Source organism: Homo sapiens, chromosome 6 (assembly GCF_000001405.40).
Source record: "Homo sapiens chromosome 6, GRCh38.p14 Primary Assembly".
Lineage (NCBI taxonomy): Eukaryota > Metazoa > Chordata > Mammalia > Primates > Hominidae > Homo > Homo sapiens.
Window position 1 is genome coordinate 167,666,840 of NC_000006.12, and position 26,832 is coordinate 167,693,671.

The window sequence follows — 26,832 nt, forward strand, 5'->3', positions numbered from 1 at the left end:
TTTTCTTACCAATTTTCAAGTGGATTTCGGGTATCAAATGATCATCTTTGTTTTTTTGTGCAGCAGGATATTAATCAGTGTTAGAGGGAGGGAGATTCTGGGACAGGCTGCGGCGCAGATGAGTCTTCAGGGCCGCTGAGTGACGCGAGCCAGCCACAGAGGACAAATCCTGCCCAACTCCACTTAGGTGGGGTCCGAAGAGTTGTCAGGTTCATGGAGACAGGAAGGAGAAGGCAGGTGCCAGGGGCTGTGGGAGGGGAGGGAGTGTTTACCGACGACAGAGTTTCCGTTTGGGAAGACGAAGAAGCTCTGTGGGTGGAAGGTGGTGATGATGAACACACTTAATGCCTCCAAACTGTACAATTAAAAATGGTGACAAAGGCCCCAGTGTTACGTGAAGCACATTTCACAGTGAAAATCACGCCTCATGGGGCCAGCCCGCTCCACTCGGAGAGGAGGAAGCTGCTCTTCCCCAGAGTGCGCGTTTTCAGGACAGCATTTTCAGATGTGCTGTGTTGCATGAGGACTGTGGAGAGTGTGAGAAGGGGAGGCCAGCCAGGCAGGGCCCACAGACAGCAGGGGTCAAACCATGGACATCTTTAGGGCATTTGTCCCTCCTGGTCCTTGGGAACAGCCCCAATTGTCCCCCTGGAGTGTGTCTGTGGCATTGGGCCCCCCTGGAGCGCCAGGGTTGGGGTGGGCAGTGGGGTGGGCAGAGTGCCGTAAGCTGGGTCTCTCAGTGGCTCCTCTCCTTCCAGCCAATGTGCAATGCAGTCCAGCTCAGTCTCTGCAAGCCCAGCCATGGAGGACTCCACACAGGTACAGACCCATGACTGTCACTCCAGGTCTGCCGTGAGCCACTCCAGTTCACCGGCCAGCACCCCATCTTTAGACAGCGGGTGCGTAAGTCAGCCAGGTCCTGTGTCGCTTAAGCCTTCCTTCCTTGATATGTCCCAAAACGGCCTCTCGAGCTGCGGGGCAAGGCCTCCAGTCCTGCGTCTTGTGTTTGGGGAGCACGTCAGCTTCCAGGGCAGCAAACTCGCGGTGCTTCCTCTAAATGCTTAGACTATGGTACAAAAGATCCAAGAAATGCCAGTGGCATTCGGTTCCCCTTGCTGTGTCCTCCTGGCCCTTTCCATGAACCTTTTGTTCTGACAGGGAGGACGGCCGGTGGCCTGGGTCTCACACTCGGCCACTTGAGTTCCCCGTGGGCCTCTGCAGCCTCCTCTGTGGGCCACATGTGTGTGGTTTGGGCAGAACGGGAGACTTCACAGGCCTCTGCTGGGAGCTCGCTTGTTTATTTTGGAAGAATTGTTTGTCTCTGCTGCTGACAGTGCAGCCTGAATCCTGTTTTGTTATTTCGCCGTCCGCGTGTTCTGTCAAAGACCAGTGGCCTTCTGCCCTCATCTGCTGCCTGTTTTGTTATTTCGCCGTCCGCATATTCTGTCAAAGACCAGTGGCCTTCTGCCCTCATCCGCCACCTGTTTTGTTATTTCGCCATCCGCGTGTTCTGTCAAAGACCAGTGGCCTTCTGCCCTCATCTGCTGACCGCCTGACTGCACTAAGCAGCATTAGATGACATTTTTCCGTCACTGAATTTTTAGGTCAAGCCAGTTCTATCGCTGCAGAATAGATAACTGAACGGCAGCGTGACAGCCTTTGGGGCAGGGGGGCCGTCTCCGGATAAGACACGTTTGTCTTTTTCCCAGGCACACAGCCTTTGCCGTTTCAGAGCCAGGGCTTTTCCTGAAGACTGCATTTCTATCAGCTGCACCTTGTGCAGGTCCCACCCCCTCATGCCCCTCCCTTACTCTAACAGGTGCAGAAGGGGAAGGAATGTCTGTGCTTTTCCAGGTTGCGTCCTTTCTGTAATGTGACTCACCTGTTCCGCAATATTTTTTAAGCATTTACAGGCTGCGCAGAATTGCGGAGGATGAAAGTTTGACAGAGACGTGGGCTGACCTGAGGGAGTCATGGGCAGCAAGGCCAGTGACAAGGCAGATACAAGAATAACTGCAGCGTAGGGACCGAATAGTGCACGCTGCAGCCTCCCGGGGGTGCAGCCAGTGGGGGATGAACAGACCCGTGGTCCTCCACACAGAGGTCAGCACACATCCAGGTGCATTTCCAAACACACCAGGTTGGTGTGTCTGCCAGGACCCCTGAGCAACCAAAGCCCACAGTGCCCCTCCCTGCCCCCGGCCCACCCCGTCCAGGACCCTCACCGACTGCCTACAGCCACTGAAGGGTAGAAGGGACCCGAACTTGGTCGAAGAGGAGGAAGCTGCTCTTCCCCAAAGCGCACATTTTCAGGACAGCATTTTTAGAGGCGCTGTGTTGCATGAGAACTGTGGAGAGTGTGAGGAGGGGAGGCCAGCCAGGCAGGGGCCACAGAGAGCAGGGGTCAATCCATGGACGTCTTTAGGGTCTCTGCCCATCTTGGTCCTCAGGAACAGCCCCAGTTGCTCCCCATGAAGTGCATCTATGGCATTGGGGCCCCCCGGAGCACCAAGGTTGGGGCTGACAGTGGGGTCGGCAGAGCGCCATGAGCTGGGACAGGAGGCGTCCCCTCTCCTTCCAGCCAATGCACTGGGCTGGACCCCCAGGTTTACAGAAAAGTGGGGCAGACCCTGGAGAACTGCTTTGTCATGAGATGGGGTGCTCACCCCCACCAGGCATAGCGTTCCTCCTTGCCCCTGGTAGTGCAAGGACCAGGCCATACCCATCGCAGTGTGGAAGCTGAGTCCATGCAGTGTCCGGTGGCGAGTGCTGTGCCCACTGGGAGGCTCGCCGAAAGCCATCCAAGAGGTCTGGGCTCCTCTGAGGCTGACTCGAGGGGGCTGCCCAGACAGAAAATCCTGGCCTTGCGATTTCAATCTCAGACCAACCCACCTGTGAACACTGCCTTCTCATGTGGACGTGGGGAATGAGGAGGAGACACGGCAAGCTTGGGACCAAAGGAAAAAGAGGCTGACCTTGAAGCCTCCTCCAGTGAGGGACAAAAAGTCACGGCCTCAGCTGGCAGAAGGTGCTTGATAAACCACAGGCTCCTGCCCCCAGCACTCTGGCCCCAGGGACACTCAGACGTGATAGAGTCCAGACACATCCCTGAGAGCCACACCACACACCTCGCGCCCCTGTTGTCCCATAAGAAGAGCCCCTCCCGGCAGACAAAACCCTCTCATGTGTGACTCAACCACGCCATAAGAGAGGCTCAGGTGAGGAGGTTTAACCGAGAGGCCAGTCGGGCAGAGTCCTGGGGGAAGCCAGCAGCATCTGGCTGGGCCTTCTCCTGGCTGTCCCTGCCCCTCGGCCCCCAACTGAGACAGAGGGAGGCTGGGAGCCTGGTCCCCCACCCTGGCCTTTTGGTGCAATCTTATCAGGAATGCGTGTGCCCTGTTTTTCCTCAGACACTCCACAGGAATGTGTCGAAACGCACAGCAACATGGCGTCCCCAGGGCTGGTGACACAGCCCCTCTGGCAACCTGGCTTCTGCGGCAGCTGGTGACGCCGTCTGCCCTGGGCCTCCATCCTGAGCAATATCACAGCGTCAGTTCACTGTCCCTCCCTGGAGGGACCTCCCCCACATGAAACCCTGCTCCAGAAGCATGGGTGGTCTCAGCCTGCATTCCCCAGGGAGAATGAGGTCTCTCCTTCTCCGTCCTGGGCTCCCTGCAGCCAGAGGGGTGATCAAGCGGCAGGAGAAGCCAGGAATGACCCCAAGGACACAGTCGGGTGACCGGTTATCACCCTGGACACAGGAGGCATCCACACAGAGACGGGTGGACGCAGAGCCAGGCCCCCCAGGATCCTCATCCCTTCTCTTCCTCCTGTGGTCACTGGGGACGTGACCCAGGGACAGGCCCTTCCCCAGGAAGGCTAAGCACGAAGTCCCACCCTTCTTGCGATCGAGGCCAGCAACATTGGTGTTCATGATGTCAGCCAAGGATGGAAGCTCCAAATCGCTCACTGCCCAGACTTGTGAAAACTAAATGGCTGCCCTTTTCCTTGGAACCTCTTTTCTGAAAGCACACAGGAATCTTCAGTTTTCCGCGGAGACCTGGAAGGAACTGAAAACCCAGGTTTAGTACAAGGAGAGCGTTAGAGATCTTACTAAATATTTAAGGAGGCTAAGAGTACAGCAGGCATTCTGTCTAAAAATCACAGGCTACAAAAGGAATCAGCGACCTTTGGTCCCAGTGACCCAATCAACGCTGAATCGCAGAGTCGTGTTGAGGGAGTTACAGACTGATGGTTTCTCCAGGACAGGCTGCATCAGAACGTAGAATACCAGTGTGACCGACCCAATGCACTCCTGTTCTTTTGAATTAAAAAATGACAAAATCCAAGTTGCTGTTCAAATCAGTAGGAAACCCAGCTGCTAAGGTTTATGGCAGTTGGGCCTGCTTGGAAGTCACAGTTCATGTCAATGCAAACTCATGGATACAGTGCAGGCTGGCCAGATTAAATAAAAGTTTTCCATTCCACTTCTATTCTGCAGTCTCATGCAGCCAACACTTTTCCTTGTTTAGTGTGGAAATGTTAGGTGCTCAGACCTGAGGCACTACAGTCACACTACAATCTACAGTCATACTATCATCTTCAGTCACACTACCATCTACAGTCGCACTGCCATCTACAGCCACACTGCCACCTACAACCACACTGTCATTTACACCCACTGCCACCTAAGTCACACTACCATCTACAGCTACACTGCCATCTTCAGTCTCACTGCCATCTACAGCCACACTGCCATCTACAGCCACACTGCCACCTACAGCCACACTGCCATCTACAGCTGCACTGCCATCTACAGCCACACTGCCACCTACAGCCACACTGCCATCTACGGCCACACTGTCATTTACACCCACTGCCACCTAAGTCACACTACCATCTACAGCTACACTGCCATCTTCAGTCTCACTACCATCTACAGTCGCACTGCCATCTACAGCCACACTGCCACCTACAGCCAACTGCCATCTGCAGCCACACTGCCATCTACAGCCACACTGCCATCTACAGCCACACTGTCATTTACACCCACTGCCACCTAAGTCACATTACCATCTACAGCTACACTACCATCTTCAGTCTCACTGCCATCTACAGCCACACTGCCACCTATGGTTGCACTGCCACCCACAGCCACACTGCCGTCTACGGCCACACTGCCATCTACAGCCACATTGCCACCCACGGCCACACTGCCACCCACGGCCACACTGCTGTCTACAGCCGCACTGCCATCTACAGTCGCACTGCCACCTACAGTCGCACTGCCACCCACGGCCACACTGCCACCCACGGCCACACTGCCATCTACAGCCACACTGCCATCTACGGTCACACTGCCACCTACGGTTGTACTGCCACCCACGGCCACACTGCCACCCACGGCCACACTGCCATCTACAGCCACACTGCCATCTACAGCCACACTGCCATCTACGGCCACGCTGCCATCTACAGCCACGCTGCCACCTACAGCCACACTGCCACCTACGGTTGCACTGCCACCCACAGCCACACTGCCGTCTACGGCCGCACTGCTGTCTACAGCCGCACTGCTGTCTACAGCCGCACTGCCATCTATAGTCGCACTACCACCTACAGTCGAACAGCCATCTACAGCCACACTGCCATCTACAGTCGCACTGCCACTTACAGCCGCACTGCCATCTACAGTGGCGCTAACATCTACATTCACGCGGCCATCTACAGTCACACTACCATCTACAGCCGCGCTGCCACCTACAGCTGCACTGCCATCGTTATCACGTGGGGAGGGACTGCAAGGCCACCCAGTGCTCTCCCACCACACTTCACATTTTCCTTCCTTCACATGCCTCGTTCTTGCATGAATGAAGTTTTCACACTGCATCTCTACTTCAAGAGAAACAAAGAAAAACAGTCTCACTAAACAAAATCACCAACTTCCCTGGCTGAGAGCTCAGAGCACTTAGGATCTAAATAGAAGACTGTTCCATGGTTGCTGTTCAACAGTGACATGTACCTGACACTACCCTACTTCGGGAGGTCAGGGTCCAAGGTAAACCAGAGAGGAATCTAATTAAGACTTGTTAATCAGTGAATAATCAATTATTGAAAATTAACCATTACATTCGTAGGAGAGTCTGGCTAGCAGTTCCCTAGGTGTGATGGCATGCTTTGACGGCAGCCTCCAGTACTGAAGACCTTGATCCCTGGTGATGGAATCCCATTACAGTGAATGTCCCTCCAGCCCACACTACAGGGTAGGAGAACAAAATGAACAAAAAATCTAGATAAATCAGAATTGTTTCAGACTTTTCAGGAGAAAAAAAATCCAAGAATCCCAGAGACAGATTCCAGTTGAATTGGAAAATAGCAGGGCAGTCTCTCTTCTTATCCATCTGTCCCTCATTTACTCATGTTTGCACTCAGGAAACCCCCATGAAACAGCTTGCAGGTATCGAGGCTACAGAAACGAAGGTGCATAACACAGAGGACTTGCTCTCCAGAAGGGCACCGTCTGAGGGCTATGGGGAGATGGATGAGGAAGAAGATATTTGCAAAACTAAACAAAAAAGAAGGGCTAATAGTCACTGAACACTACATTTTTCTCCCAGCTCTGTCCTAAGGATTTTACTTAGAATATTTCATTTAGGCCGGGCGTGGTGGTTCACACCTATAATCCCAGTACTTTGGGAGGCTGAGGCAGGTGGATCACCAGGTCAGGAGATCAAGACCATCCTGGTTAACACAGTGAAACTCCGGCTCTACTAAAAATACAAAATATTAGCCAGGTGTGGTGGCACACGCCTGTAGTCCCAGCTATTCAGGAGGCTAAGGCATGAGAATCGCTTGAACCCAGGAGGCGGAGGTTGTAGTAAGCTGAGATTGTACCACTGCAATCCAGCCTGGGCGACAGAGCGAGACTCTGTCTCAAAAAAAAAGGAACATTTCATTTAACCCCAATAAGGTGGGTAGTATCATTGGACCCATTGTACAGTAGGAAAAAGGGACAGAAGGTGTGGGAGCTGGACCAAGGCCTCAGATCTAGTGGTTGGTGGAGATAAATTCAAGTCCAGGGCAGCCTGGATCCAGTACCTATGTCCTTGTCCTACACTCTCCTGTCTATAGAAAGGGTGTTTTCCATTTATTTGCTCACTTACGGGTGGTTTGTTGAGCTCTGGGTGGATAGGGATGCATATGTTATAATAGCCATGGTCCCTGTCCTCATTCTGCTTACAACTTTGATCAAAAAAGCTTCCAGAGATGAGGACATGCTGGAAAACGACCCAGTCAGCCTCCTTCCCTGGAATTCCCCTAAGACATTCCTGGGTTTCTCATCAAGCGTTTGCTGACCGTGTCTGCATTTAGCAGATTTCAGGTTTTGGAGAGATTTCCTGCCACTCACAGTTAGTTATCTATTTGAAGGCAACTGCAATTGGGGAAAAGTTCCTTTTTGTATGAAGGTGAAATTTCCCTACAATTTCTACTCGTTGGTTCTTGCTATCTCTGCCCACGAGGCCTCCATGGAAAAGATGTCTTCCTTCTTTTGTGCATAACTTTGGGAATATTTGGAAACATTTCTGAGGTTTCCCGTATACCCTTTCTCTAACTCCTCCAAGCTAAACCTCAGAAATGCCCTCTCCCTGTCATCCAAGAAGTGATATCAGAATCTTTATCATTGTGGCCAGACCCTGGGGGTGGACTTAAGGCTAGTAAAGTAAAAGGAGATCTAAGCGTGGCCCGTGCTGAGCTTCCGGGGATGGGCCACGCATGGCATGCATTCATTTGTGGACATTTCCCTGGGAACCTTACGTATTGGGTCCATGTGACATTCCCAGGGCTGCGGCTCACTACAGAGGGCTTGAACCTCATACTGACATTAAAGAAAGCTGAGTCCTGCCTTTGTATTCATCAGTGCTTTTTAATGATGGCAGAGCAGGCTATGGAGTCAGACTGCCTGAATTCAAAGCATACTGTGTAATCTTCAGCAACCTGCTCACTCTCCAAGCTGAGTTTATGCCTTTGTACGTGGGTTGGGAAATTAAAAGAGTTATGTATTAGTCCGTTTTCATGCTGCTGGTAAAGACATACCCGAGATTGGGTAATTTATAAAGAAAAGGAGGTTTAATGAACTCCCAGCTCCTCATGGCTGGGGAGGCCTCACAATCATGGTGGAAGGCAAGGGAAGAACAAAGGCACGTCTTACATGGTGGCCAGCAAAAAGAGAGATCTTGTGTAGGGGAACTCCTCCTTATAAAACCATCAGATCTCGTGAGACTTATTAACTGTCACGAGAACAGCACAGGAAAGACCCACCTCCATGATTCAATTACCTCCAACCAGGTCTCTCCCACAGCACATGGGAATTATGGGAGCTACAATTCAAGATAAGATTTGGGTGGGGACACAGCCAAACCATATCAAGTTCCATATATTTGTGGATGTGCATGTGTGTTTATATATACAGTATATAAATGTATATATGTGTAAAATACATACATATATAGCACTTATTAAGTGCTTGGTTCACAGTATGCACTCTGAAAACATTAGATATCATTATTATAGCACAAAATCATTCTAACTCAGTCGGCCAGACTCCAGACCTTGCTGCCTGTGCACTGTGCTCTGTGGCTTTGCTGCTTGGCCTCCACTGCTGCCTGACCATTTGATTCCATTGGGTTGGGTCAGCTCAGCTTTTCAGGTCATGCTGAAGTTTGATTTGTTATTCAAGTATTAACTCTGCCTCTAAGACTACATTTGAAAAGCATGTATTATTCATCTTTTTTCAAATATTGCATTTTCTCGATCTTGGATGTACTGTTTCATATTTTCATGTTTGTGGGGAGAAGGGTGCATCTCACATTACAACATGGGCAGTATTTTTTTTCCTGGAAAGTGATGATTAAGTCCTGGCTCTGTCTTACACCTGGTGATATCTTACAAGTGAGAAAATGCAGTGAGTTACAGTATTCACTGGGACATGTAAAGGTTCTAAATGACAACACTTCTCTACAGCAATGGTTCTCAAACTTGGTTCCACAGCAATAGTTCTCACATTGGAACCATCTGGTGACCAGCAGTAAAATAAAAAAACACTGGTGCCCAGGGCTCACCCCCAAGAGATTCCATGACTAGGAGCTGGGATGTTAAAAAGCTCCCCAGGTGATACGAAGGTGCACTTTGCACTAGACCCGAGCCAACTCTTCCCCCATCTTCCCCCTTAGCTTCCTTCAGAGCATATGTAAGGACCGTCAATAATTGCTGGCGTGATTAGCCGTGTCTGTGCCCCATCTCTTGAGGATAGGAGCATGCTGCGGCCAGTGTTTGGTGCATAGAAAGCACTCAGCATGCACTGCCTGGATGACCGTGTGGACTTCGGCCACTCACCAGCACTGTTTGCTGCTTTTTGCCTGTGTAAATGTGCGTGTTTACTGTTTCTGCTATGGCAGCGACTGCAGGACTGCAGGACTGTGAACTTTGCCCTCATTTTTCACCGGCTTTATCTCCGCGAGAAACAAGCAGAGGAAGCAGCTGGGAAAGGCTGGACGGGAAACCGGAGGCCACAGTCTCCTCCCAACACCACTGCTGAGTGAAGATGTTTAGGATGGCATCAAACCTGGGGACCTCATCTGCACAGGGGGGGTCCTATCCACCAGAGGATATATAAGCCCCCTTCCAATTCAAAATCCTTTCATCACGTAGACTCGACGGCATGGAGTTAGCACCCCATCACAGCTTTATGACAGACCCGGTTTTTTACTACTTTGTGGCCATATCTACACAAAATGAGATACATAAAATGCAGTTGTAGGCTCGGTGTGTCAGCTCACACCTGTAATCTTAGCGCCCTGGGAAGCCAAGGCAGGAGGATCTCTTGAGGCGAGGAGTTTAAGACCAGCCTGAACAACATGGCGAGACCCTGTCTCTACAGAAAAGTATGAAAAAATTAGTGGGGCATGGTGGTGGGCACCTGTAGTCCCAGCTACTTGGGAGGTCGGGGCAAGAGAATGGCTTAAGCCCAGGAGTTCAAGGTTACAGTGAACTGTGATCGTGCCACTGCATTCCAGCCTGGGCAACAGAGCAAGACCCTGTGTCTAAAAAAATTTTAAATAAAAAGTTAAACCAGGAGTATAGGTAACATGATCTTAGACAAAGGCCACTACCTCATCTCCAAAAGCCAGGCAGTGGCCCCAGGAAAGTGCCCTGGTCAAGTCCTCCCCTTCACAGGCAAGCCAGGCTGGTTTGGAACAAAAGGCAGAAGCTTTTCCTCCTATTTCTATTTTCCTATTTCTCCTGATCTTGACCCTGCCCAGGAATCCGAACTGCCAAGTAGACGCCCTCCATCCCTCCCATTTATTCTGTCATCCACCCACACCCTGGCTTTCTTGCAGCCAGAGAGCTTCTTCCTGCAAGCACCAGCTGTTGAGCAGGACTGTGACAAAGAGCAACAAAGAGCCACAAAGAGCAGGCTGCGGGCGGGACCATCGGGACCATCACAGAGGCATCAGCCCTGCCCCGGAGTGGCTGCAGATGCATCCCTGAGGGAGGGGGCTGGGGTGCAGGTGCTCCCTCCCGAACAGGGGGTTTGTTAGCTTCATCTGCAAGGCCCTGAAGCCAGGCTCTTTTCAAATCGTCATCATGTGTGCACCGTACACTCCCTTCTGACTCTGGGGGCCTGGGCGCCTGCTTAGTGCAGCCTTAAATTTTTTACGTACCAGTAAAAATACTGCATGTAAGATTCTGTTCCTAGGAGGATAAAGGGATGGCCAGAGCTGGCTAAGCGGAGTCTCGACGGACTAAAGGTATGGGAAAATGAAGACGTGGACCTACCACGTTCTCTTCTACCTGGAACTTAGGATTTGTAAATTGCATTTAGATGTCATTTGTCACATTGGTAGGCTGTGACTTAATACACTCACAAAGAGGATTTTTCCAAGTATTTAAACTGTGTAGATGCTGCAAAAAATCAGACTGAGGCAAAGCCCTGCAGCCAACCCCAGCAGCAAGAGGTGAGGACCCCCTGTCTGTCCTGGGCCCCACTCAGGCACTATCCTCATCTCTTAGAATAGTTTGTTACCTTTTCTTTCCTGAAGCCTCATCAAATGCAACTTTTTCTATGGCATTCAACGGACTTTAAAGCAAAGATTACAGAGAAATTCTTATGCAAGTCAGAAAATCTGCTTATTATGGGTTTGATAAACCAAATTGTGTTACCTGTTTATAGACATAGATTTCTATCAGCCAGACGTGTGCACAGCACAGCACAAACCATAGCCACCCCCGTCGAAGTCTCTTTCTGTGCATTTCCCAGCCACGCCCCCAGCTTGGGCCCCTGGGGTCACCTCCCACTCCGGCTAGAAAGAGAGAAGGAGACAGTGAATTCCTCGGAAGCCGCTCGCCCTGCACCCAAGCGGGACTTGCACCACAAGCAGCCCCAGGAAAAAACTCTCCATTTCTTTCTCGTGGAGGCTCCAGAAGAAAAGCTGCGCATTTACCCGGCGCATTCTAACCGCCTTTGAGGTTCCCTCCGGCAGCCATGGGAGCCGTGGTGGGGCAAAGCCTGGGCTGGGAGACGCTGCAAGGCTCTGGGGAGCAGTGAGGCGCCGCGCCAGCTCCTCCGTTCCCGTCATAGCCTCACACGGGCTTCGCTGGACACGTCCAGGACGCAGCGCCGGTGGGCACCAGGCGTTGAGCGCCTGCCCCGCGTCTGTGCTAAGACCTCCCTTTGCATTATTGCATTTATTCCAACGATGGGGTGAGGTAGGTATTCTTATTTCCATTGCCAGAGTGAAACACTGAGGCTCATCCAGGGGCCGGTGTGGAAATCAGGGCTCAGCCCTGGGCCCCTGCTGCTTGGAGCCGGTGCGGTGGCCACCGTGACCTCACGCTTTCCCTGCCAGTCGCTCTCCGCCGCATCCCGGCCTCCCGCCCCGCCCCCGGCCGCTTTCCAGGGACTGAAGCCCGAGTTGGTGCTGCGTGTCCCCGCGGGGATTATTTTCAAACAGCTCCTCCTGCCCTGGCTCCCACAGCGCGGCCCCAGGCAGCTGCACCACTTTCTCCTCTCACCAATTAAAGCCGAATCCAGGGCTCCTTAGCATATGAATTGAGGCGCATCGGAGCCCTCACTGCTGGGCCAGCCCCTCCCGGGCTCCTCCGGTTCCGGGAGGTCCACAGCCCAGCAGCAGCTGCCCCTGCACGTTGTCCCCTCCGTCCAGCATCCCGGGGCCGAGGAGACAGTGCCCCTGGCCGGGGGCTGCGCTGGCTTCAACTTCCCATGGGCAAAACGGGGTCCCGGGTCAGTGTTCACAGAGGGTCTCAAACCCTGCAGGACCCTGAAATTGTCTGGGATCCACACCAGTCGGAAGAAAAAAAGAATAGAAAACGCAGGGATTCACCTCCTCTGCAGGCACCCTCATGCCGAACACTAAACAGGATGATGTTGAAAAGGATTTGGAGATTTATGCAGGTCACGAGCTTGAGGAATTTTTCCATTGAATGCACCATGCCTTGGGTTTCCCGTTTCCCACTGAAAATCCCATGGCTGACACTTTTTTTATATCATTACCTTGGGAGATGAAGAAAAACTCATCTGTTAGGGCAGCTCTGTGAATGCAGATGCTTTGGGTTGTTTTGAATGAATGACTGAATGTTCTGAAATAAAGCAGGAAGGTGCCTGCGGGATAATGACTGGTTTCGCAACTCTTGGCCGGGAGTCTAGACCCCTCTGATAATCAATAGAAATGGATGTATATTAAATTTAGCAATAGAAAAAGTATAGATAGTTGAGTATGCTACATTATTTTCCTATAAATTAACCCGTTACCACAGTCTTTAATTATCTTCCCCTTGCGAGGCATAAAGAAGAGACTGCTTGAGGATGGAGGGTTTTTTGTGGTCTGAGGTCTGCAGACTGGCCAAGTATTCCAATATTAATTACCACCCATCCTGGCCGTAGGCTCACCCCGCTGACCTGAGCAGACCTGGTGAAGCAAGCCACAACTTCTGCTGGAAATTGCTCCACTCTTCCATTAAGTGAGGATTAGAAAGCCCTTTGTGAGAATTTTGCCCAGAGTCTAAGTTGAGCACTTTGTCACTTGCACGCTTCATTTTCCAGCATACCGTTCGCTCAGCTCAGTGTCTATCCAGGCACTGAAGGTTCGGATGCAAGCACTCTCCAGCGTAGGGGCTGACCAAGTGAAATGCACACTGAGCAACCGTGCAGCTCCAGGTCCTGGCGGCTCTTCACAACCAGACATTCTCCCTGGAGACCCTAAGCTCCTCTTCCTCTGTTGGGGGAGCACAAAATACCCTATAAGGGCTGCTTTGCTGCCTCTGGCACTTTCTTCATCAGGGGAGTTACATCCAGATGTAGCTGACAGGTCAGGGCCCCTTCTCCTCCACCATGTCTCAGGGTTATCTTTTCCAAATGGAGGAAGTCAAGGGTATGCAGGCGCTCCAGTTTCCCTGCCTTACCCTACATATCCATAACAGACTTCAACACGAGAACCAGCGTTTCGGATGTGTCTAGCAGAGTGCCAAAGTCAGGCTGGAGTGTGCCCTGAAAGTCAGGGCCTTCTGAGGGACACAGACACGGTTTGTCTCCAAGGGGGCTGTGTGTAAGGCAAATGCTGAGGCCTACAACCATGTGTTCTGAGACGGTGGCCATTACAGAAACAGGCAGTCCCCAGACAGAAGCACAAAGGGCAATCTCAAGGAATCAAGATCTGTAGGCAGGGACCCACACTGAACAATCTGGACAAAGCTAATGCAGAATGAACAGTACCGCCGCTACCCAGCGACAGTCGGGCTGATGTTCTAGGAGAACCACACGCTTCACACAGCAAGGGAGAAATTAGGCCGTATTTTAATCCCTTCCAGCTTCGTCCAGGAGGTGTTGTGATTTGAGTCACTCTCTTCCTCTAACTCCTAGCCCATCCGCAGTAATAAATAACTTTGCAGTGAATGGATGGTTTTCTTAGACCTGGGGGAACAATCCTAGTTTGATAAAGCAGCTCAGGAGCGTGAATGCTGAGGGGCCCGCCTATTAGCTGCCAAGCTCGGTAGCCAGGTCAGGCCCCACTGGAAGGGAAGGGGCAGTTGCCCAGGGTGCCTGAGGAGCAACCTGGCCCCTGTTCTCGGGTGGGAGAAGGAGCACCTGGCACTGACCAGCCCTGGAACTCCGCCTGCTCACTGGACATCACAGCACATGAGCGGGTGCTATGGATGGAATGTTTGAGTCCCCCAAAATTTGTATCTTGAAGCCCTATTTTCCAAGGTGCTGGTATTAGGAAGCGGGGCATTTAGGAGGTGATTAGGTCATGGGGGGCCTTGTGAATGGGATTAGTGCCCTGATAAGAACAGAGATGACCCATCTCTCAGCCATGTGAGGACACAGCAGAAGGTGCCATCCACACACCAGTCTGGAGCCCTCCCAGCCACGGAACTGCCTGGCACTTGGATGTGGGGGTTCCTGCGTCCCAGCCTCACAAGAACTGTGAGAAATCCATTTCTGTTGTTAAAACCACCCAGGCCATTGCATTTTTGTTACAGCAGCCTGAACTGACTAAAACAGCTTGAATAACAGAAATGGCAGGTTAAAAAAAAAAAATCACTGTTCCTGGGCTTGCTCTAGACTAAATAGTTGGGGGAACCTAGGGATTAGGGAAGAGTCTAGAGAAAAGCCGCAGTTCAACGCCTGCCCATCTCCTTGCTTCTAGTGAAGGGGCTCAAGGAATATGACGCTCTTATTTGGGAAGGAATTCTGGGTCATAGAAAAAAATGGGCGGGCCAGTCCAGGAAGCGTGGAGAGAAGACAGTGAAACTGCTCTGTCGAGAACTCAGGAAGTCCCCCAAGAGAGGACGGGGGAGGTGGGAGGTGTGGGGTAGGTGGAGTGAGCCCCAGGGAGGAAGACCACAGTGATCCTTGTGGCAGAAATCCAAACTGTGGGGGTAAAGGAACATGAAAGCAACAATTTCCCCTTATGTCCTGCCCGATGCTATATAGTTGCTTCACAGCAGCCTCTTCACACCAGCCTCTCATCTTCATACCTTCTCTGAGGGTCTTGCTCATGGTGGCTTTGTCAGGAGATGCTCTGGGGGAGGAGGAAGCAGAGCAAAGCCCACCAGTGACACAGAGTGAACCATAAAGGTGAAGACAGTCATGCCCAGAGAACCAGGGATGCAGAAGTTCATGGAAGCTGGAGTTTGGGGCAGGAAGCATCTGGAAAAACATGAGTCTCCTCTTTCCCCGCCCTCACCATCACCCCCAAAACATGGATATCCTCAGAAATATCTGGGAGGATCCTGGATTTCCCACATGCAAAGATAGGGGATCAGGTCCAGAAGGCACAGCTGTGCTCAGGGTGCCTGTGTTTTGTGAACTAACTCAACAACGGACAGCGCGAGATACACAGAGCCACACTGTGGCTGGGAGCCTGGCCGCCGTCTTCCTGATCCCTGGGGCCGATGGCCAGAAGGGCTTTCTTACCAGGTGCTTCCCAGGAGCCTGGGAGGAGGTGACGCTGAGCACAGACACCACATCCTGCAGCCGTCCTTGGTCCCGTCTCAGCAGGCATTCCCAACAGAGACCCCACCGAGAGCTGCTGGGAAGGCAAGGAGATGTGGGTCATCGTCATCAGCTAAATGGAGGGTGGCATTCTGCTTCTACCATCCAGCCAGTGCCACAGATCAAAGAGAAATAAGCTCGGCAATTTTCCTGCCATCATTTTGTTTTGAGATAAGGAAATTATCCACAATCCAATTATGAGGTGTAATGTCACATTCTTTTTTTTTTTTTTTTTGAGTCGGGGGGGACACGGTCTCACTCTCTTGCCCAGGCTGGAATGCAGTGGCACAATCTCAGTTCGCTGTCACCTTGACCTCCTGGGCTCAAGCAGTTCTCCCACCTTGGCCTCCAAAGTAGCTAGAACTAAGCAATCCATCCACCTTGGCCTCCCAAAGTGCTGGAATTACAGGCATGAGCCACTGCACCCAGCCCATAATGTTGCATTCTAATGTGATAACAAATTGAGTCAAAGTGTGTCCATTTCCTCCAAATTTGTTTGGAACAAAGAAAGTCTTTCATAACTTGGTCATATTAGATATTTGTAAAATACAGTTTTGATGAACACAACCCTTAGTGGCCCTTAACGGAAGTACTTGTGGCTGACAACAAACTCAACATCCCTGGGAATTTTGCTCAAAGAGTTGCCACAGTGCCAGGATGAGTTTAGGGGAATGCCATGCTGGCCACGCCTGCTCACCTCTGTCCATTCCACTGATAAAGGGCCAAGTCCAAAGGATTCCTGCCTTCTGTAGCTGAAATCTAAAAATGGAAACGCTCTGTGTGAGTCAGCATCAGATGTACAATTGGGATGTGTTCGCACAGCCGCTTCATTCCGGCCTGAGAACAAGAGCACTTTGTTTCCTGTTTGCTAAGGAGGTCAAGGTCCCCTGGCCGTCTGCGTGTGGGTTTCCCTGTCTCAGACAACTGTGCTGTGAAAGTTTCTTCAGTGCATGATACTGGCCCCCCTCCTGCCTCTGGACAGAAGCCTGTCATTATTGTCACCGGTGAGGAGACATTTGTCCCCCATCACGCATGAGGGACGGAGAAGAGAACTCCTGGCATTCCACAGGGGATGGAGGGATGGGGGTGCAGAGCCACCCGCTGGCCCTCAGCCCTGACTCCCAGCCTCTGAAAAACAACTCTACGACAAATCCTCCTTCTGAGCCTCCACTCAGTGTGCACATGAGTGGCTCCTGTCAGCGGGAGCTCCATGGGAAGCTTCTAAATACGGAAAAAGTGGAAATGGCATGTTGCCATGCAAATGTGGCCCCACTAGACGTTTGTCCCAAAATGGAGCATCCTAGAGTACCCATTCTTCATCTCTGCCTTGGGAAGATGTTCGCCCAAGCGCTTGCTTGATTTGCAGATAGAAACGTTGTCCCCACTCTTGTGTGCAGTTCAAAGACTTCACACTTGACAACTGAGAGTCCACCAAAGGGAGAAGTCGGACCAGCCCCCAGCCAAACACGGGAGAAAATAAGGACTTAGGAAAACCAGCACTGAGGCCTGGAGGCCTGGAGCTCCAAGGGGCAGGTCCCATGAGCATCCCGTTCCACGTGGTTTTCACCAGCTTAAGTCCCATCATTGGCACATTCCTTTCTGAAAAAAAAAAAAATCAATTTTCATGGCAGCTAAAGCACGATGCATAGTTCAGGATTCTGTGTCCATCCAATGCTAGCTGCAGATCCAAGCCCGAGTCCCCTCCCTTCGGTGTTGAACATCCACACTGCGCTGGAATGTGGTCAGCAGCGTTCACAGTTGTATCTTTAAATGAATCTTGTTTCTGGCACTCAGGAGTTCATGTCCAGGAGGGCTCTGATGGGAGTCAACTCCATCTAGGAAAAGTAGAAACACCTGAAACATAGTACTTTGCAAATTTTAAAAAGAAAAGACATACCTGTATTAATCCATTCTTGTGTTGCTATAAAGAAATACCTGAGACTGGGTAATTTATAGAGAAAAAAGGTTTGATTAGCTCATGGTTCTGCAGGCTGTACAGGATGCATGACTGGGGAGGTCTCAGGAAACTTATAATCATGGTGGAAGGCAAAGGGGAAGCAGGCACATCTTCGCATGGTGGAGCAGGAAGAAGAGAGGGAGTGAAGGGGGAGGTGCTACACACTTTCAAATAACCAAATCTCCTGACTCACTATCACGAGAACAGCAAGGGGGGGAATCTGCCCCCATGATCCAATCACCTCCCTGCAGGTCTCTCCTCCAATATTGGGGATTACAATTCAACATGAGATTTGGGTGGGGACACAGAGTCAAACCATATCAACACCGTTTACCCGACCGTAGCCAGATTGCAGCAGAGTCCAGACCCACCGCGGTGTTTGTTCAACCTCAGGCCTTGCCACTGCCTCTGCCTGCTCCACCCTGGGGTGCTTGCCAGATAACAGGCAAAGGCAATGAGCACGGAGCCTGGAGGAGGGTCCCCGGGGAGTTCCCCTCAGCCACACCTCAAATAAACCCCACAGAAACCACCACCGTCTGGTTCTACCCACCTGGAATGTTTTCCTGCTCTTCTGTTTTTTGGCCCTGTCGAAACCTATCCCCGAAGCTCAGTCCAGGTGCAGTTTCCCAGGAAGACAGAGGAGGGACACTTACCTGCCAGGGGAGGGATCGCCTGAGCACACCTGCTCCCAGCTGCCCCGCATGGCCTCCTCCTCTCTGTGGTGACTTGTCAGTTAGCCATAGACTGCCCGCACGCAGCAGTGCTTCCATTGTGGTCCTGAGAAATGGTCTCTTTTCACTATTTAACTTCTTTAATGCTCTGTATCTTGTGTCTAAAATGGTATCTTGTGTTTTAAGCTTCTGGAGGACACAGCCCATGCTTCCCGAATCTTCCTGTCTTCCCCACTTCCTAGGGTGCACCTAGCACATATGGGAAGTTCAAGAATTCTACAGGCTTCATTTTTCTGTTTTTTTTTTTTTCTGTCACTGAAATATATTCCCCAAGGGGCACACTTTCCAGGCACGCTTTTGACCTTAAAGGGAAAATTTCATCTTGCTGTCGCTCTCTGAGTTCTATTTTTCCCTGGCTTCCTCCTCAATGGGAACTCGGTAAGAAGCGGAGACAGCAGGAGCACCTCCCTTTCCTCTGAAGAAGTTAACATGGTTAACAACAGCGGCTCCATCCTCTGGTGTAACCTCGAGAGCGAGTGAGGAGCTCTGGCAGTCACCACAGTTACTTGAGCCTCACGGAAGAATCTTGCCTTTGGGGTGGCAGTGGCCACATCTCGGATGTCTCTTCCCCAAAGGCCAGGGCTGGGGTGAACCCAGCACATGCCCCCCGTGGCCACCCCATGCCCCAGGGCTCAGGGAGGGAGGGCTCCGGGAAGATTTTGACAGTGGAAGTTAGGGCAGGTGAGGGGAGAAAGGACCCGGAAGTCGGGGACACCTTTCTCAGGCTCTGCCCTGCACAGGGAGCTGGGAAGGACCAGCCTCCTGGCATCTGTGTGTGATGGTGCCCGGCACATCTGTTTCCTGCCCCAGTGCACCTCACCGGCCTGGGCACAGAACTGCTAAACGTGACTCAGGAAAAGGAACTTTCCCACATCGCTTCACTTCATTGATTTTCAACAGCAGGAAAAATTTTGCTCACTGGTCTGGCAAATAAATAAGTGGTTATATCTGAGCGTGTCTGTGTGTGTGTGCAGGTGGGTATACAGGTGAGTGTGTATCTAGGCATGTGTACATGCGACTGTGTGTGTGTGGGTGTGTGTGAGGGTATGTGTGTGTGCGTATGTGAGGATGTGTGCAGACTATGTGTGTGAGCATGTGAGTACATAAGCATGTGTGTGCACATGTGTATACGTTTGTGTGTGCTTATGTTTATATTTGTGTATTTGTGTGCATGTGTGCATGCATTTGTGTGTGCACACATCTGTATATACATTTGCGTGTTCACGTGTGTGTATATTTGTAAGTGTGCATGTTTATATTTGTATGTGCATGCATTTCTGTGCATGTTTATATGTGTGCACGTGTGTATGCATTTGTGTGTGCATGTTTATATTTGTGTGTGAGCATGTGTATATGCATTTCTGTGAGCGTGTGTGTGCACATGTTTGTGAATGTGTGTGGATGCATTTGTTTGTGCATATATGTGCATACAGTTGTGTGTATATTTGTTTGCACATGTGTGTATTTGTAGGTGTACATATGTGAATACATTTGTGCATGCACATATGTGTATGCATTTATATGTATTTATGTGTACATATGTGTATACGTTTTGTGTGTGCATGTGTATTTGTGTGTGCAAATGTGTGTATACATTTGTGTGTGCATGTGTGTACATGTTTGTGCACATGTGTGTTAAAATCTGTGTGGGCACATGTGTATATGCATTTGTGGGTATTTGTGTATAATTCTAAGCGTGTGTGAGCATGTGTGTGTGCATGTGTGTATATTTGTGTGTGTATACATTTGTGTATGTGTATTTGTGTGATTGCATGAGCATATGTGTGAGCATGTGTATGAGGGTGTGTGTGCTTGTGTGTATATTTGTGTGTGCATGTGTATATATTTGTGTGTTTGTGCACATTTGTGTGAATTTGTGTGTATATTCATGCATGTGTGTAGACGTTTATGTGTTTGCATGTGTGTATATTTGTGTGATTGTGTGTGTGTGTGTGTGTGTGTGTACACCCATCTTGTCCTTTGTCCCCCACTCGAGGACAGAGTGTGGCTGTGGCCTCCATTCTGACCCTGCTGCCTGCTGGCTGCCCTGGGACGATCAAATGGCAGCAGATGTCCTGCCTCGTTGTTGGCATTTTGCTCCAATTTGCTGGGCTTGATTGAAATCACTTCTTTTTATAGCAGTGTGAGATCTGGATTTTGTGATTAAGTGTGAAGCAGATTTCTCTCCTCAACAGTGAAAGATGCCCCGAGGTGCTGCAGAGTTAACTCGGATCCAGGCCCTTCTGGGGGCCAAGCCGCCCGCACCGGGAGAGCTGCGTTTCTTTCTTCAGCGTCCTGCCCTCCGTGGCTGCAGGATTTTCTTGGAAGGTGAAAGGCAGACATTTTGGGAGCCACTAACAGACTTCCTGAACCTTCACTGATGAGGAGTCAAACACTTCTGAGAGAGCGGCCGTGTGATCCAAAAAGAGGAGCCAGGATAAAGGAACAGATGGAGGCATGAGGTAAGTGCTTCTTAGCACTCGAAGAATCAGGAAGATTTTCAGAAACAGGAATTAGCAATCTGGAAGGAAAGCTCAGAATAACACGGTTGTTTCCTGCGCAGTGGAAGGCCTTGGGCTGCGCCTCCCTCCACCTGTGATCTGCGTTAACGGGCCCCTTGCTGCAGGTGTTGGCAGTGGTAGTTTTCTAGACGGAACCTCACACCCCCGAATGGCTGTCAGTGTGTGTGTGGAGACTCAGGAGTCACCTGTGCAGGGCTTGTGAGTTTCCTAGAGAAAGAGACGGACCATGTTCTCAAAACTGTGCCTCGAGTCCACTCCTTCTTCATGGGTGTGCAGGCGCAAAGCCACAACCTCCACCCTGCTCTCCCTCCTGTGTCTCTTCCCCCGGTGTCTGTGCAAATACGGGTGTCTTCGTGTCTAAGTGAGAGAGTCTTTGTGGGTCGACAGCACATCTGAGCTGTTGGTCACCTACAGCGTGCATAATGGCTGGCACTGGTCTCCCCTTTCTTGATATGGCAGCAGGTAAGCATCTTCGCTGGAGACACACTGCTGTCAAACGGGAGTAGGACCCCTGGCTCTAGCAGCCCTACTGGCTGGAATCACCAGCTTTGTGCCTGGAATTTGGCTGCAGTAAAACACTCTTCTCTCCCGCAGAGAGGGCGGGATGGTGCCCACAGCCAGGGTGCCATGCAGCACGTTCTGGTTACACCTGCCCCAGATCATCTGTGGATGGAGTGTGGGTGCTGATCCTTCATGGGGGTCCTCCTGGAGGCACTGCTCACAGCAGTGGATGAGCTCATTAACTTAAATGCATTTCACGGGTCGGTGCTTAGATTCTCCAACCACGTGACCCTGCTAATGAAGGCACCCTGCAATCAGAACAGAAGCTCTGGGTTTGGACTTGATGACTGTCATCCAGAGTGAGTGCCATCACAGGGGAGCAATGGGCCTCCTTGCAGGGCACCAGGGAAGCGGGACGATGTCAGAACCAGGAGCCAGTCAGCTCCCACTGCACCTTCTTCTCGCTCGCACATTCCTGCACCTTTTGCTGGAAGATATTTGTCATTTAGCTACCTGGAAGGGATGAGATGAGGACAAATGGGGCTTATAAAAGAAAAGTTAAGGCCGGGCGCCATGGCTCACACCTGTAATCCCAGCACTTTGGGAGGCCGAGGCAGGGAGATCACAAGGTCAAGAGATCGAGACCATCCTGGCCAACATGGTGAAACCCCGTCTCTATGAAAAATACAAAAATTAGCTGGGTGTGGTGGCACGTGCCTGTAGTCCCAGCTACTTGGGAGGATGAGGCAGGAGAATCACTGGAACCCGAGAGGCGGAGGTTGCAGTGAGCCGAGACTGCGCCACTGCACTCCAGCCTGGGTGACAGAACGAGACTCCATCTCAAAAAAAAAAAAAAAAGAAAAGAGAAAGAAAAGTTAAACTGCTTTTTTCTTTCCTGTACTGGTTGGCTTTCTAGCTGACTGGTCTCCGGTCAGTGAATGGGTGCTGAGCTGCCACGATGGGTGTTTACCCCCCATTCAATCATCCTGCCACCCGCTGTGTTCCTTTGAACGCTCCCTTTCCCCTTCATCCAGGCTCTGATGGTGAGACTTCCTCTTAACCAGAATCCAGAATGGTGGAGCGAATCTCCCAAAACCATTCAGCACTAGCCCAGTGGTCCCTCAGAAACCCTCGTTTTGTAGGGACAGCCTCAGCCTTAAGGACCCCCAACAGTCTCAGAATCAGAGGGGGTGCCTGGTCTCCCTCTGGGGGTGCTGCCATCCTCACCTGGGAGCCAGGGGCAGCCTGCAGCTCCACTCTCAGTGGAGGCAGCACGGAGTCATTGTGACGCAGAGTGAGGACACAGCCCTTGCCCTGTAACTCACGTGTTGAGAATTTTACAGATTATAAGGCCACGTCTCTACATCAGAGCTTCCACTCAGCCCTGGGGAGACCCTGCTGCTGGGGCCAGATCCAGCATGAGTGCCCACTCAGCACCCTGCAGCCAGGGGAGGCAGCAAGACTAAGCAGAATCCCATGGGCTCAGGCCAGTGGTTCTAGGAGCAATGATCCGGGGCTCCCTCAATATCTAAGAACAGAGAATCCCCCACATCACCAAAGGAAGGCAGTGCTGGCTTCGGAGCTTCTGTGCATTGGGCACAGAAAAGAAGGCATGGTTTCCCTGCTCCTGCTTTTCGAGGGGGTCACCCAAGACCTGGCACAGTCCCCATTGTCCCTGAGGGAGGAGACAAAGCTTCACGCTGAGCACTTCCCAGCTATGTGCACTAGTGCGTGGCCCACCTCCTGACCCCACAGGCCAGAACATGGGAAAAGTCGGTATCAGGCAAGGGGTGTTTCCTCCCCAGAAGTGGAATGACGAGCGTGCCATTTGGCTCAAGAGTTTCAGGGCTGCAGTTGACTGAGGTTATCTGTGGACTTCATCACTGCTGTTGCCAACTGAGAATGTTTTGCAAGCTTGACTTTCACTGATCACTTAATATCAGACTTTCTGGGCCAACAGTGAATAAGAAGCTTTAAATGAGAAATCACTTTCTGTGTTTTTGAAGATGTTATTTTGTTCTGAGTTTAAATGAACTCTTTTGACATTTGGTTCAGCAGAGAGGAAGCAGAGATGTGTGACAGGACAACAAATCTTGGGGCCCCAAAATCACTAAGCTAAAGGGAAAAGTCAAGCTGGGAACTGCTTAGGGCCAACCTGCCTCCCACTCTATTCAAAGTCACCCTCTGCGGCTGGGCGCAGTATCTCACGCCTGTAATCCCAGTACTTTGGGAGGCCAAGGCAGGCAGATCACCTGGGGTCAGGAGTTCGAGACCAGCCTGAACAACATGGTGAAACCCCATCCCTACTAAAAACACAAAAAATTGGCCGGGCATGGTGGCGGGCACTGTAGTCCCAGCTACTCAGAAGGCTGAGGCAGGAGAATCACTTGAACCCGGGACACGGAGGTTGCAGTAAGCTAAGATCGCACCATTGCACTCCAGCCTGGGTGACAGAGCAAGACTCTGTCTCAAACAACAACAACAATGATGACGAAGCAAAGTCATCCCTCTGCTCCCTGAGATAAATGCAGATCTGATTGCCTCCTTTGGAGAGGTTCATCAGAAACTCAAAACAATGCAACCATTTGTCTCTTATCTACCCCTGACCGGAAGCTCCCTGCCTGCTTCCAGTCTTCCCGCCTTTGCTTCCGGTTGTCCCACCTTTCCGGACCAAACCAATGCTCATCTTGCATATATTGATTGATGTCTCATGTCTCCCTAAAATGTATAAAACCAAGCTGTGCTAGGACCACCCTGAGTACCTGTGGTCAGGACCTCCTGAGGCTGTGTCATGGGTGCACGTCCTTAACTGTGGCAAAATAAACTTCCTAAATTCACTGAGACCTGTCTCAGTTATTCAGCATTCATGGATGTGTGATGTCTCCTGGGTTCTCTGCGTTCCTACTCACCCCCTCCCCACGCCTCTCCACTGGTCTTGCTAGATGATAAATGATTGGCCTGCTCTAAGTCAGAATTTGCTCCCAGCCTCTGAGAGTTCCTCCCTCTCATCCACATGCACACTCTGAACTGAATGAGAGTGCCAGGACCTTCCCCCTGTTGTGTGGCAGTCTGTAATAGCAGTGTGCCATCTGCACCATCCGGGGAATCGATTTAAGGACCCGAAATAACCTGGTGTCATTTGCACTGTCATGATGTGCTGGTTGAAACTGCTGTGAGCTCTAAGCTTGGCTCCCGGTTTAAATAAAGCACCAGATTGAAGCATCTTCACTTTCTTTGCATTTACTGTCAATATCTCTAAGGGCCGAAGCTCAAATTTAAAATACCACACTTGGTCTGAAATCATCTTGATAGGATTAATTCATGTTTTTATCACTCTAAAGAAAATAATGTTGAAATATTCCAAATATAAAACTTAGGTAAAGAGAGAGGACCTTATTCACATCATCTTCCTGTTTCTCTGGGTTTGTTTTCTAAGCTGTGTTACATCCTTGAAAGGGCCTTCCAATGTCTGATCGCTGAACTGCCTGCCTTAAGTCTGTAAGACTTTCGTGAGATACTGTCATCCTGATCCTTCACAGGCAGTGGGCGTATGGCCTGAGAGTCCATTTGCAGAAGCTGACCACAGTGAACAGAGTGGGAATGCTGGACACTAACTCACTCAACTGAAGTGTGAGCCGGGGGCCCCGCGTGACCCAGATGTCCAAACTGCAAACCTAGGAGATCCTCTAGCGCACACCTCCTGTGACAAAGGAATCCAGAAGCTTAAGGACTCTGCAGGAACTGTAGCTTCTGCCTGCTACAACAAATCCCAGCAAGAGTTCGCTTAAAAACACAGATTAGAAATTATGAATATGCACCCCACGGGCCTTGATCTAAGAGGACAATTCAAATCTGACCCAGGTAAACAAAAGGCAGTGGCGAAGAATCCAGCAGTAAAAGCATTCCTAGGAAAAGACAGGCCAGAGTAGAACCTCCCCGTTCAAAGATGGATCCAACCCAGCAAGGAACGTGTAGAATGTTCCTGATCAGAAACAGAGGGGGGTGGGGACGGAGAGAGGGAGGGAGCAAGAGGGGGGAAGAGAAAGAGAAAGAGAAGGAAAGGGAAGGAGGGAGGAGAACAGAGGCTATCAGTATGACATGACAAACACAGGAATACAAAGTACTGTGGGAAAGAAGAGATACTTTTAAATAATACAAACATCAAGGCATAAGAGACAGAGTACTAGAAAAGGGAACATTAAACTAATTTCAGACTTATCCTCAGCAATCACAATTGCCTAAAACAAAGAAACAAGTGGAAAGAGGGACCGCAGCCTCAAATCACACAGGCCGCCTGCATGATTTGTTGCATTTACATGAAAATGCAACAAAGTGACCTGATCAAATACACAAAAACTTCGGTATTATAGCACTCATGAAACCTTTTCAAACACCTTGATTTGAATAATGAAGTCAAATAAAACGAGTGAAAACAAAGAACTTCTACTTTTTTCTTCCTCTTCCTTTCTCCCTTTCTCTCCCTCTCTCTCTCTCTCTCTCTCTCTCTCTCTCTCTCTCTCTCTCTCTCTCTCTCTTTAATATTTATTAGTTCAGGCTGGGTGCAGTAGCTCATGACTGTAATCCCATCACTTTGGGAGGCTGAGGCAGGAGGGTCGCTTGAGGACAGTAGTTCAAGACTTGTCTGGGCAACACGGCAAGACCTCGTCTCTAAAATAATAATTTAAAAATGAATTAGCTGGGCATGGTGGTGGATGCCTGTAGTCTCAGCTACTCAGGAGGCTGAGGAGAGAGGATAGCTTGAGCCCAGGAGTTTGAGACTGCAGTTAGCTATGATCATGCTACTGAACTCTAGCCTGGGTGACAGAGCAAGACCCTGGAGACCCTGTTCTAAAAAATATTTAAAAATAGGCTGGGTGCAGTGACTCATACCTGTAATCTCAGCACTTTGGGAGGCCGAGGCAGGTGGATCACGAGGTCAGGAGTTCAAGACCAGCCTGGCCAACATAGTGAAACCCCATCTCTACTAAAAATACAAACAATTAGCCAGTCTTTTTGGCAAGCACCTGTAATCCCTACTCAGGAGGCTGAGGGAAGAGAATCACTTAAACCAGGGAGGCGGAGGTTGCAGTGAGTGGAGATCAAGCCACTGCACTCCAGCCTGGGAGACAGTGCGAGACTCCATCTCAAAATAAACTCAGAGTTCCCTTACCTTCCTTTTTCTTCCTTGACGCAGTCAGGGTCAGAGGGCCTTGCAAAGCCGGAATCTCAGAGGTAGTCAGGACTAAGGAGAAGGTTCTAAGACCTATCAGACTTTTCTAAAAGACCAAAGGCTGTAAAAGGAATTCCATTTTAGAAGTGACTGAGATTGCTACCAAACCATTATCTTCTTCTGCCATGGGAACAGAGCTGGGGAGAGGACCTGGCTACAGAACTAGGATGCATTTCCCAAGCCCCTTGCTGCTATGGGAGATCATGGTGAGAGGCAAAGCCAGCTGGACTTACGGACCAATCAACACTGTAAAATGGACCAATCAGCGCTCTGTAAAATGTACCAATCAGCAGGATGTGGGCGGGGCCAAATAAGGGAAT

The 26,832-nt window shown here is 50.6% G+C and overlaps 3 long non-coding RNA genes across 3 annotated transcripts in view, besides 2 other annotated features; 1 reads left to right on the top strand and 2 right to left on the bottom strand.

Annotated features, from left to right (window-relative positions):
- On the bottom strand, positions 1-12,384 carry LINC02538 (long intergenic non-protein coding RNA 2538). Its single transcript, NR_117091.1, has 3 exons — positions 12,073-12,384; positions 11,221-11,360; positions 1-4,070 (listed from the first exon to the last, which is right to left on the bottom strand). It is a non-coding gene; the product is annotated as a long intergenic non-protein coding RNA 2538 (long non-coding RNA).
- Positions 5,342-5,841: an enhancer, noted in NCBI's record as "H3K4me1 hESC enhancer chr6:168072861-168073360 (GRCh37/hg19 assembly coordinates)". NCBI's record gives its function as "activates a minimal SCP1, AML or CMV promoter by ChIP-STARR-seq in naive H9 embryonic stem cells {active_cell/tissue: H9 hESC(naive)}" and the evidence as "EXISTENCE:reporter gene assay evidence [ECO:0000049][PMID:30033119]".
- Positions 11,393-24,145, top strand: LOC124901465 (uncharacterized). Its single transcript, XR_007059883.1, has 2 exons — positions 11,393-11,766; positions 20,455-24,145. It is a non-coding gene; the product is annotated as an uncharacterized LOC124901465 (long non-coding RNA).
- LINC02487 (long intergenic non-protein coding RNA 2487) overlaps positions 13,852-26,832 on the bottom strand; it is a 15,599-nt gene continuing 2,618 nt past the window's right edge. Inside the window, exons 4-7 of the long non-coding RNA NR_117092.2 lie at positions 16,881-17,406; positions 16,269-16,330; positions 15,494-15,608; positions 13,852-15,098 (exon numbers count right to left, since the gene is read on the bottom strand). This is a non-coding gene — a long non-coding RNA (long intergenic non-protein coding RNA 2487). The remainder of the gene's footprint in view (positions 15,099-15,493; positions 15,609-16,268; positions 16,331-16,880; positions 17,407-26,832) is intronic.
- Positions 18,416-18,917: an enhancer, noted in NCBI's record as "H3K4me1 hESC enhancer chr6:168085935-168086436 (GRCh37/hg19 assembly coordinates)". NCBI's record gives its function as "activates a minimal SCP1, AML or CMV promoter by ChIP-STARR-seq in primed H9 embryonic stem cells {active_cell/tissue: H9 hESC(primed)}" and the evidence as "EXISTENCE:reporter gene assay evidence [ECO:0000049][PMID:30033119]".